Source organism: Homo sapiens, chromosome X, assembly GCF_000001405.40.
Source record: "Homo sapiens chromosome X, GRCh38.p14 Primary Assembly".
NCBI classification, from domain to species: Eukaryota; Metazoa; Chordata; class Mammalia; order Primates; family Hominidae; genus Homo; species Homo sapiens.
The window spans coordinates 150,830,592-150,843,655 of record NC_000023.11 but is presented as its reverse complement, the minus strand read 5'-3'; the positions used below and the strand labels follow the sequence as shown (position 1 = coordinate 150,843,655).

The window sequence follows — 13,064 nt, the reverse complement described above, 5'->3', positions numbered from 1 at the left end:
ATTTTGAGACAGAGTCTCACTGCATTGCCCAGGCTGGAGTGCAGTGGCATGATCTTGGCTCACTGCAACCTCTGCCTCCTGGGTTCAAGCGATTCTCCTGCCTCAGCCTCCCAAGTAGCTGGGACTACAGGCGCCCGCCACCATGCCTAGCTAATTTTTTTGTATTTTTAGTAGAGACGGGGTTTCACTATGTTGGCCAGGCTGGTCTTATAACTCCTGACCTCATGATCTGCCCGCCTCGGCCTCCCAAAGTGCTGGGATTACAGGCGTGAGCCACTGTGCCCAGCCCAGAAAAGGGTCAGGATTTTAAAATTTAAAAACCGATGCAGTTTAGGTGAGTATTCACTCACTTAGGATTTATACTGGCCCATCTTCCCCCCAAATTGTAAACTGCTTACATGTACAAAGGAAGAAGGTAGAATAGAAACCATCCTTAGAGAGCAGGGGAAATAAATGTAACTGGCCACTTGAGAGGTGCCAATCTCCCTGCTAGAATCCCTACTTTGCGTCTGAAATCTTTGGCAGCCAGGGGTCCCAGCTGCCTCTGCAGTTATTAATCCAGCAGCAGGCAGCAGACACGTTCCTCTGCAGAGATGCTTGCTCTTGGCATGAAATCCAAATGGATTTTGTCACAAAGTAATATCAGGTACTATCTACTGGTGACAGAGTTTTGGTAATCAAAATGAACACACCTTTAGGAAATGCTTTCTTGCTGCCAGGTCTGTGTGTGGTGTTGGCATGGAGATTACCAAGCGCCAGTCCCTGCTTAAGGCAGCTCACTGTCTAGAGCAGCACTGTCCTATGGAACTTTCTGTGATGATGGAAATGTTCTCTGTCTGTGCTGTCAAACACAGTAGTTACCTGCTGCATGTGGCTATCAAGCATTGAAATATGGTTAGTGCAATAAAGAAGCAGAATTTAAAAAAATTATCGAATGCTAATTTTAATTTAAACGGCCACATGTGGCTAGTGGCTACCATGTTAAGTGGGGCGAGTCTAGAGAGAGGACACACAAAAACACTTAACTGGAATGGCTGTACTTTCAGGATGAACTGAGTGGAGTGGATAGCAACAACAGAGGAGGGAATGAATAATTAATGAAATCCAAATGAAAGGCTACTTAAGGGGCCCATCAAATGATCTCTCTCAAGGATCAGACGTTTCAATCAGGCATTGGCAGGTGCTGGATCACAGCCAGTTCAGGGTGGAATTCTCTAACAAGGGCAGCTGTGCCTTGTTTTACAGCCTTTATTGAAGTGCACCCTTAGCCTTAGCTTTAGATGCCAGTCCTGTTGGGTCAAATTGCAACATGAGGTCAAGCTTGTGTTCCTTCCCAAAGGGACAAAATCTACTCCAGGACAGACACTGGCTGTTGGAGTGTCTGTGGGTGGAAACAGCACTTTTCTTATGAAATTAATCTTCTCAAGGACATGCACAAGTCCATGGGCAACATTGCCAAAGGACATTTTCAGAGAAGTATTATCAGCTCATTAGGTGCTTTTTACATTAAAAGGAATTCTTGGTGGCCCTCTGCGGTGGAAGTAATTTTCTGCTGAATACTTGAATACTGGCTGCCCAGATACAGGGACTGCGGGTTGTGAATTGAGCCTATGGTGAATCAGCTGTTTTCTAATGCGTGTTGGTGCCAGAGGGTTAGTCTGTGTCACTAACACAGAGGACTGTGGTCTGCCTGCATCCAAAACTGAGTTTAGTTAATAGCTTGCATAGAAGGGGTATAGAACATGACCCTATTTTGCACCTTTTGAGGTGCATTGTATCTCCTGAGAATATTTCTTCTGAACTTGATTTTAGCAACTGTGCTTGCTTGTGGGCTTTGAAGACATCTTAATAGCTCAGGATCTAGATTGAAACTGAATGGTTTTATCCACAGATAGTTTGAGTCTGTTGAATCCAAGGTCAACAAGGGATGGGTACATAGCACAACATTGTGTTATGTTCCTCTTAACATATTTACCCGATGACATGTAGCAGGATATATGAGCAAGCAGTAGGGGGAATGGCTGAGGCTAAAAACGTCTTATTGTGTAAGATGTCATTTCAGAGAACCTACTTTTGCAATTCTTGGGTGAGGAAGCAGAGATAGAGATTTGAAGGAAGACCCATTGAGATGGTAGGCTTATGGCTTTGGAGGGATTGATGTAGAACTTTTAGGAGAAATACACGTACATGGATTGAAAACAAAAAGGCAGAAAAGAGTTTAAATTAATGTAAAATGCTCCCTCTCCCTTCCCCTGACCGTTACTCTCATTCCCTAAACATAACTACTGTTACCAGTTTCCCTGTGTAAACTTCCAGAAGATGTTTATGGATATAGATATGGATACAGACACGCAAATGGAAAAATACTTCTCTGCACTTTGCTTTATTTATTAGTGTATTGTGGAGATCTCTTGCATGCCACTATTATAGGCTTATCCCATTCTTTTTAACAGCTACACAATCATTAATTGTATGGAAGAGCCATATTTCATTTCACCAGTCATCTTTGCTGAACACTTGGACTGTTTCCATTTCTTTTTCCTGTTGTAAGCATCCTTGTCCATACTTCTTTGGGTACGTGTTTCTAGTATTTGTCTGTAACAGGTACCTAGAAATTGAATTGCTGGGTTGAAGTATTTGCATATTTTAATTTTTTAATGTTGAAATAATTATAAACTTTCAGAAAATTGGCAAGTACAGTGCAAGGAACTTTTTTTTCCCCCACCAAGCCACTTGAGAGTAAATTGGTTACCTAATGCCTTATCACCCCCACCCCCAATATATTAGAGTGCATTTCCTACAAATAAGGACATCTTCTTACATATCTACAATGCAACCATCAGAATCAGGACACTAACACTGATACCTTATTACCACTAAATCCTCAGACCCCATCCAAGTTTTAACAATTGTCCCAATAATGTCTATTATTAATACAAAGAGTTCTTGACTGGGTGCAGTGGCTCATGCCTGTAATCCCAGCACTTTGGGAGGCTGAGGCAGGCAGATTGCTTGAGCTCAGAAGTTTGAGACCAGCTTGGGCAACATAGTGAGACCCCATCTCTACAAAAAATACAAAAAAGTTAGGCATGGTGGCATGTGCCTGTGTTCCTAGCTACTTGGGAGGCTGAGGTGGGAAGATCACTTGAACCCAGGAGGTTGAGGCTGCAGGAGCCATGATTGCACCACTGCAATCCAACCTGGGTGACAGAGCCAGACCCTGTCTCAAAAAAAAAAAAAAGTTTATATATGTTGTTCACCTAAATTTTCCAGATTTATCACATTTTCTGTATATGTATGTGTTCTCCCCACCCCACGTGCATGTGTGTGTGTATGAATTTCCTGAACCATTTCAGAATTAGTTGCAAACATTAGATCCATTACCTTTTTTTCTTTCTTTTTTCTTTTTTTTCTTTCTTTTTCTTTCTTTCTTTCTTTTTTCTTTTTTCTTTTTGAGGTAGGGTCTCCCTCTGGCACCCAGGATGGAGTGCAATGGCATTGTCAAGGCTCAGTGCAGCCTCAACCTCTCAGACTCAAGTGATCCCCCCAGCCTCAGCCTCCAGAGTAGCTGGGCGTACAAGCATGTGCCTCCATGCCCAGCTAATTTTTTTTTTCTTTGAGACGGAGTCTTACTCTGTTGCCCAGGCTTGAGTGCAGTAGTATGATCATAGCTCACTGAAGCTTCAACCTCCTGGGCTCAAGTGATCCTCCCACCTTAGCCTCCCAAGTAGCTGGGACTACAGGCATGCACCACCACACCCAGCTAGTTTTTTTTTTATTCTTAGTAGAGATGAGGTCTCACTATGTGGCCTTGGCTGGTCTTGAACTCCTGGGCTCAAGGAGTCCTCCCACCTCAGCCTCTCAAAGTGCTGGGGTTATAGGCATGAGATACCATACCTGGTCCCCCAACCCCAGGCTAATTTTTAAATTTTTGTTGTTGTTGTTGTGGTTGTTGAGATGGAGTCTCCCTATGTTACCCAGGCTGGTCTTGAACTCCTGGGCTCAAGCAATTCTCCCGCTTCAGCCTTCCAAAGTGCTGGGATTACAGGCATGAGCTACTGTACCAAGCCTATACCTATTACCTCTTGATACTTCAGTATGCAGTTTCTAAAAACAAGGATACTCTCTTCCTGACTACAGTATTTCCATCAAGACCAGAAATTGACAGTGATCAGTATTATCATCTAGCTGGTCTACAGACCTAATTTAACTTTGCTGATTGTCCCAGTAATGGCCTTTATAGGTTCAGGATCCAATCCTAGATCACCTGTTGGATTTAGCTGTTACAATTTCCCTAATCTCAAGGATTGCAGGCTCTCACTACTTTCTTGTTCAGTGCTGATTTTGCCTCATGGGTTTTGTTCATTTTATGATTTACAGTGGAAAGGCGGGTCTGATCCCAGTTATTCTCATAGCAAGAAGCAAAAGTCTACCTTAGAATTTTGGAAGCTAGGTTATTAAGTGCCATAACTTTTATTTACTGGTATATTATATGCTTTATTTCCATAAAATATTGCTCTTTTCCTACTTTGAGCTTTGGGTCTTGAATTTTATCTTATATTAATATCATATCTGTTTCCTTCCTGTTAGTGTTTGCCTGGTATATATTTGTTCATTCTCTACATTTTTTTGCCATTTTGTTTTAAATGTACATTTTATCAATAGCCTATAGTTAGATATCTTTTAATCTCATTTGTCTTGTAATGGGAGATTTAGCCTATTTACACCCCCCCCCCCATTTTTTTTTTTTTTTTTTTACTGATATGATTATACGTATTCCTATGTTAAAGTTCATGTTTTCCGCTGGGCATGGTGGCTCATGCCTGTAGTCCCAACACTTTGGAAGGCCAAGGCCGGAGGATTGCTTGAGACTAGGAGTTGGAGACCAGCCTAGGCAACATAGTGAGACCCCATCTCTACAAAAAAACCCAAAAAGTTTGTTTTCTATTTATCATAGTTCTTTTTTTTTTTTTTTTTAACCTCTGGTGACTTTTGTTGGGTTGACTGAGTTTTGGTTGTTGCTATTGTCCTTTTATTTTTTCCCCTTAAATGGGTTTTGAGGTTATATATCCTGGATCTCTTCATTTAGCAGTTGCCCCTAATTGGTTTTGCTATAAGAAATTGATTTTTTAAAATAAGTTTTATTTTTGAACAGTTAGATATACAGAAAAATTGCAAAGCTAGGACAGAGTTCCCATATGCTTCATATCCAGTTTTCCCTATTAACATTTTATATTAGCATGATGCATTTGTCACAGTTAATGAACCAATATAGATATACTATTATTAACTAAAGTCTATACTTTATTCAGATTTCCTCAGTTTTTATGTAAAGCCCTCTTCTGTTCCAGAATCCAATCCAGGATCCAATCTAATCCATGTGACTGTCAGTCCTTACGTCTTCTTAAGCTTCTCAGGCTATGCCGGTTTCTCAAACTCTGGTTTTAATGACCTTGGTGATTTTGAAGATTGGTCAGCTATTTTGTACAGCACCCCCCAGTCAGGAGTTATTTGATGTTTTTGTCATGATTAGACTGGAGTTACGGGGTTTTGAAAGAAAGACCACAGAGGCAAAGTGCCATGCACATCACATCCTGTCACATTATATCAAGGGAACATACTGTCAACAGGACTCATCATTGTACATGTTGACCTTGGTCACCCGGCTCAGGTAGTGTTTGTCAGGTTTCTCCTCTGTAAAGAGTAAAGTTTTTCTATTTCCCCTTTATCATACTGTAATCTTGGGAAGGAAGTTACTATGTGTGGCTAATACGTAGGGAGTGGTGAATTGTGCTTCACCTCCATGAGAGACAGATAGCTACAGAAATGAATTTGAATTATTCTGTATGAGAGATTTGTCTATTCTCTCTCTTTTGTTTATTTATGTAATCACTTATTCATTCAGCATGGACTCGTAGATACTTATGTTATACTTGGGGTTATAACCCAATACTACTTTATTTTGTTCTTCAAATTGTTCCAGCTAATATCCGTCCTGAAAAAAGTCTTTAAAAATTTATTCCAGCCATAGCCACTGGGAGCTCTTTCAGTTGGTTCCTGTGCCCCTTTGACAGATACCAATTGATGTGATTTTTAAAAATACTTCCAGGCCGGGTGCAGTGGCTCACGCCTGTAATCCCAGCACTTTGGGAGGCCAAGGTGGGCGGCACTAGAGGTCAGGAGTTCGAGACCAGCCTGGCCAACATAGTGAAACCCTGTCTCTACTAAAAATACAAAAATTAGCCAAGTGTGGTGGCGGGTGCCTGTAATCCCAGCTACTCAGGAGGCTGAGACAGGAGAATTGCTTGAATCTGGGTGGCGGAGGTTGCAGTGAGCCAAGATTGTGCCATTGCACTCTAGCCTGGCTGACAAGAACAAAGCTCCGTCTCAAAAAAAAAAAAAATAATAATACTTTCTTACTTTCTGGCACCTCAAGATGCTTCAAGATTCAAGCTCATCTTACATATTTTCTGTCCCAGTCAAATCAGCCAAGGACCCCTGGTTCCCTTTTTGGAGAGTAGGATTAGAGACGAAGACCTGGGTGCTAGATGTGCTCATTGCTACGGAGTGTTGTTGCTTCCAGCCCCGTCCAGTTGACAGAGCAAGGGAATATATGTCTTTATACTAACCCATATATATACTCATGGCTATAAATATTTCTGTATATAGCTATCTGTTTATAGTCACGTGCCACATGGTGATATTTTGGTTGACAGGCCACATATACAATGTTGGGCTCATAAGATTATAATACTTTATTTTTACTGTGCCTTTTCTGTGTTTAGATACACAAATACCATGGTGTTATAGTTGCCTACAGTATTCAGTACAGTCACATGCTGTACAGGTTTGTAGGCTAGGAGAAATAGGCTCTACCATACAGCCTAGGTGTGTAGTAGGCTACACCATCTAGATTTGTGTAAGGACACCCTATGATGTTTGCATAACAAAATGGTAAAAGTGTAACAAACACATCTCAGAACGTATCCCTGTTGCTAAGCAACACATGACTATGTTAATATTAAGCTAGGCCGGGTGCAGTGGCTCACACCTGTAATCCCAGCACTTCGGGAGGCTGAGGCGGGCAGATCACCTGAGGTTGGGAGTTCGAGACCAGCCTGACCAACATGGAAAAACCCCATCTCTACCAAAAATACAAAATTAGCTGGGCGTGGTGGCAGACGCCTGTAATCCCAGCTACTTGGGGGGCTGAGGCAGGAAAATCGCTTGAACCTGGTGAGCTGAGATTGCGCTATTGCACTCCAGCCTCGGCAACAAGAGCGAAACTCCATCTCGGAAAAAAAAAATTAAGCTAAATATGATTTCATACTTAGCTTAAAGTCTCCTACTCTAATCCATTTTTGTATGGGTCATTTTAGCCTGCCCCTCTTATCTGTAACCTCTCTCTCTGATAGTGAGAAACCTGGCTCCCACCATCCCCTATCCATTTACTTAGGTCAATTCCAGTATGCATGCATAATGGTTTGCTTGAGAACTGATAAGCTATACACCCTTATGACAAACTACGTGCCCATCTAGAGGAAACAGTAGCTATCAAGTTCAGTAGGACGCTAGGTTGGGCAGATGGGTCCACTTGTGAGGACAAATTCTATTGTGAAAAACTTTTCCCCAGAGCTTTTTCAGTTATGTGTGATTAGCCAGAGCCTCTAGTCTAGGTGGGGTACTGGGGATCGGAGAGAAGGTACCCTGGATTGACAAAGTATAGAGTAGCCTTTGTGAGACCTGGGGTGGGGTGGAAGAACTTGGCCCCTCATCAGTGGAGCTGTGGGCTCCAATGACCCCTCTTACTTCTCTATGGAGAAGGTTTTCTGTGAGATAGTACTTCATGTTCGAAACACCTGAGCCTTCAACATTCTAGTGGACTGAAGCTTGGGGTTTTGTTTTGTTTTTATTTTTTAATTTTTATTTTTGGTGGGGATAGATAGGTTGTTTGAGGAAGGCTATCAGCTCAGTATATCTTTGAGTGGCTTTGACAGATTTCCCTTTTGTGGAGTTACATTCATGACACTGTCTAAAGGGCCATGACCATTTCAGGAGAGAATTTCAGTATTATTTTGTTTCATACAAAGACAGTTAAATTTTAAAATCTTTGTTTTGTTATCGTTGCTTTTTACAGACAGGGCCTCACTCTGTCGCCCATGCTAGAGAGCAATACACACTCACTGTAACCTCAAACTCCTAGCCTCCAGCGATCCTCCTTCCTCAGCCTTCCAAGTAATTGGGACTACAGGCGTGCACCACCATGCCGGGCTAATAAAAATAATTTTTAACATTTATTTTTAATTGACAAATAATCTTTGTATGTATTTATAGGGTACAATGTGTGTAGTAAGATTCATTCAAGCTAATTAACATATCCATTATCTCACAAACTTATTTTGTTGTAGTGAGAATTGTAAAAGTCTATTAGCAATTTTAAAATATACAATACATTATTATTAATTGTGGTCACCATGCAGTGCAATAGGTTGCTAAAACTTAATTCCTCCTGTCTAACTGAAACTTTGTGTTCTTTAATCAACACTTTCCCTTTCCCCATACTTCTCCCTCCCCTCAGCCTCTGGTTAGCTACCTTTCTACTATTTCTGTCAGATCAACTTTTTTAGATTCCACATCTAAGTGAGATCATACAATATTTGTATTTCTGTGCATGGCTTATTTCACTTAGCATAATGTCCTTCAGTTCCATCCACATTGTCATGAGTGACAGAATTTCCTTCTTTTTAAAGGATGTATAGTACTCCATTTATATATGTACCACATTTTCTTTATCCATTCATTTGTTAATGGACACTTAGGTTGCTTCCATACCTTTGATAGTGTAAGTAAAACCAAAATGAACATGGGAGTACAGATATCTCTTTAAAATCGTGATTTCAATTCCTTTGGATATTAATACACACACAGAACTGGGACTGATTTCTGAATTATATGATAATTTCATTTTTTGTTTTTTTGAGGAACCTCCATACCATTCTCCAAAATGGCTATACTAATTTACATTCCTAACAACTTGTGCAAGTGTTCCCTTTTCTCCATATCCTCACCAACAAATATCATTTGTCTTCTTCATAATAGCCATTCTAACAGATGTAAGATGACATCACATTTTTGTTTGTTTTTGTTTTTGTTTTGTTTTGTTTGGAGATGGTGTCTTGCTCTATCACCAGGCTGGAGTGCAGTGGCGCGATCTCAGCTCACTGCAACCTCTGCATCTCTGGTTCGAGAGATTCTCCTGCCTCAGCCTCCCGAGTAGCTGGGACTACAGGCACATGCTACCGCGCCCAGCTAATTTTTGTATTTTTAGTAGAGACGGGGTTTCACCATGTTGGCCAGGATGGTCTCAATCTCTTGACCTCGTGAACTGCCTGCCTTGGCCTCCCAAAGTGCTGGGATTACAAGCATGAGCCACTGTGCCCAGCCCACATTTTGGTTTTAATTTGTGTTTCCCTGATGATTAGAGATATTGAGCATTTTTTCATATACCCGTTGACCATTCATATCTCTTCTTTTGAGAAGCTCCTTTGCCTTTGCCCATTTTTAACTGGGTTATTTGTTTTCTTGCTATTGAGTTGAGTTCCTTATATATTTTGGATATTAACCCCTTTTCAGATGTATGGTTTGCAAATATTTTCTCCTAATCCATGGGTTGTCTTTTTACTCTGTTTCCTTTGCTGTGCAGAAACTTTTTAGTTTTATTCAGTCTCATTTGTCTACTTTCACTTTTGTTGCCTGTGCTTTTGGAGTCTTATCTAGGAAATGGTTGCCCAGACTAACGTTGTGCAACTTTTTCCCTGTGTTTTTTTCTAGTAGCTTTGCAGTTTCAGGTCTTGCATTTAAGTCTTTTATTCATTTTGAGTTAATTTTTGTATATGGTATGAGATAGGGGTCCAGTTTCATTCTTCCACATGTGCATATCCAGTTTCTCTACATCATTTACTGAAGAGACTGTCCTTGTTGGAGATCAATTAACTGTAAATATTTGAGTTTATTTTGGTGCTTTCTATCCTGTTCCATTAGTTCATGTGTCTGTTTTTATGCCAGTACCATGCTGTTTTGATTACAATAGCTTTATAATATATTTTGAAATCAAGAAGTGTGATGCCTCCAGCTTTGTGCATTTTGCTCAAGATTGCTTTGGCTATTGGGGGTCATTTCTGGTTCCATACAAATTTTAGGATTTTTTTCCATTTCTGTGAAAAATGACATTGGAATTTTGATAAAAATTACATCGTATCTGTAGATCACTTTGGTCAGTATAGACATTTTAACAATATTCTTCTAATACATGAACATGGGATATATTTTCATTTGTGTTTTTCATTTTTCATCATTGTTTTATGGTTTTCAAGGTACAGGTTAGGAGGTACGGGTCTTTTACCTCCTTGGTTAAGTTTGCTACTCAGTATTTTCTTTTTTGATGTTATTATAAATGGGATTGTTTCTTTTTTTCAGACAGTTCATTGTTCAAATATAGAAATGCTATTGATTTTTGTATGTTGATTTTGTAACCTGCTACTTTACTAAATTTGTTTATCAGTTCTCATAGTTTTCTGGTGGAGTCTTTTTTTTTTTTTTTTGAGACAGAGTCTCGCTCTGTCGCCCAGGCTGGAGTGCAGTGGCGCGATCTCGGCTTACTGCAAGCACTGCCTCCTGGGTTCATGCCATTCTCCTGCCTTAGCCTCCTGAGCAGCTGGAACTACAGGCACCCGCCACCATGCCCAGCTAATTTTTTGTTTTTGTATTTTTAGTAGAGACGGGTTTTCACCGTGTTAGCCAGGATGGTCTCGATCTCCTGCCCTCGTGATCTGCCCGCCTCGGCCTCCCAAAGTGCTGGGATTACAGGCGTGAGCCACCACGCCCGGCCCTGGTGGAGTCTTTAGGCTTTTCTACACATAAGATCATGTCATTTGCAAAGAGAGACAATTTACCTTCTTCCTTTCCTACAGAGAGGCCTTTTATTTCTTGTTCTTGCCTAACTGCTCTGGATATAACTTATTCTGTTGAATAGGAGTAGTGAGAGTGGGCATTGTTGTCTTGTTCCTGATCTTAAAGGAAAAGCTTTTAACTCTTCACTATTGAATGAATCAAATGATTTTTTCTGCATCTATTGAGATGAATAGCTGGGATTACAGGCATGCACCACCACACCCAGCTAATTTTTGTAGTTTTTGATAGAGACAGAGTTTCACCATGTTGGCCAGGCTGGTACCAAACTCCTGACCTCAAGTGATCTACCCACCTTGGCCTGGCCTCCCACAGTGCTAGGATAACAGGCGTGAGCCACTGCACCTGGCCGTCTCAAGATATTTTTAAATTTTCCTTTTAATTTCTTCTTTGACCTGTTGATTGTTTAATTTCCACATATTTGTGAGTGTTCCAAGATTTCTTCTGTTGTTTATTTCTAGTTTCTGGCTATTTTGGTCAGAAAAGATACTTGATATGATTTCAGTCTTCTTAAATTTGTAAAGACTTGTTTTGTGGCCTAACATATGATCTATCCTGGAGAATGTTTCGTGTGCACTTGAGAAGAGTGTGTATTTTGTTGCTGTTGGTTGGAATGTTCTGTAAATATCTGTTAGGTTCATTTGGTCTAAAGTGTAGTTCAAGTCCAATATTTCCTTATTGATTTTCTGTCTAGATGATCTGTTCAATGTTGAAAGTAAGGTATTGAAGTGTTCTACTATTATTGCATTGCAGTCTCTCTCTCTCTTTAGATTTATTAATATTTGCTCTATATATTTAGGTGCTTCAATGTTGGGTGTGCATATATTTACAATTGTTATACTTTCTTAATGAATTGACCCCTTTAGCATATAATGACCTTCTTTGTCTCTTTTTACAGTTTTTGACTTTAAAAGTCTATTTTTCTTTTTTTTACTTTTATGTTCAGTTCAGGGATACATGTGCAGGTTTGTTATAAAGGTAAACTTGTATCATGGGGGTTTGTTGTACAGATTACTTCCTCACCTAGGTAATAAGCCTAGCACCCATTGGTTATTTTTCCTGACCCTCTCCCTCCTCCCACCCTCCACTCTCCAATAGGCCCCAGTGTGTGTTGTTCCCCTCTATGTGTTCATGTGTTCTCATCATTTAGTCCCACTTATAAGTGAGAATATGTGGTACTTGATTTTCTGTTCCTATAGTAGTTTGCTAACAATACTGGCCTCTATTTTGTCTGATGTAAGTATAGCTACCACCACTCACTTTGGGTTTCTATTTGCATGGAATACCTTTTGTTATTCCTTCACTTTCTAAAGGGAAATGACCATTTCTAGAGGATATTTCATTATTACTTTGTTTTATGCAAAGATAGTTTAATTTTTTTTTTTAATTTTTAGGATCTGGGGACTTTGATGATTTTAACCTGGAGGATGCAGTGAAAGAAACTTCCTCAGTAAAGCGTGAGTAGTAAATCAAATAAACTATTAAAAACAAACAGTAGTGATTAATGTGTATCATCCACTCAGAATATATGCGCAAGAAAAATGATATATTTTACTTGATCAGATGAAATATGGATAGTGCCCGGACACGGTAGCTCACGCCTGTAATCCCAGCAATTTGGGAGGCCAAGGTGGGAGGATCACTTGAGGTCAGAAGTTCGAGACCAGCCTGGCCAACATGGTGAAACCCTGTCTCTACTAAAAATACAAAAATTAGCCGGGTGTGGTATTGCATGCCTATAATACCAGCTACTCGGGAGGCTGAGGCAGGAGAATTGCTTGAACCCGGGGGGTGGAGGTTGCAGTGAGCCAAGATCACACCATTGCACTCCAGCCTGGGTGATGAAGCAAGATCTCCGTCTCAAAAAAGAAAAGAAAAGAAAAGAAAAGAAATGGTTGTATTATTTAAAATAAAATTTGAATATTTAAATCCTTTGTTAAGAATACCTAACAATGTGTGATAACTGATATATCAGTTTCTGTAGCTCAAGTCATAGCCCCTACTGGTGTGACATATCAGCAGTGGCCTCCAAGGGCTGTCTTCCTTAACTCAGAAAAAAAGGCACTTTGAAGTGAATAAAAGATTTGTTTCTCCTT

General features: G+C 40.2%; 1 protein-coding gene across 7 annotated transcripts in view; it reads left to right on the top strand.

Annotated features, from left to right (window-relative positions):
- The window catches only part of CD99L2 (CD99 molecule like 2), a 132,333-nt gene that overhangs the window by 55,013 nt on the left and 64,256 nt on the right, over positions 1–13,064 (top strand). For all 7 annotated transcript variants that reach the window (NM_134445.4, NM_134446.4, NM_001184808.2 and 4 more), the window contains exon 2: positions 12,363–12,425. In NM_134445.4, coding sequence (NP_604394.1) covers positions 12,363–12,425 — 63 coding nt within the window. The remainder of the gene's footprint in view (positions 1–12,362; positions 12,426–13,064) is intronic.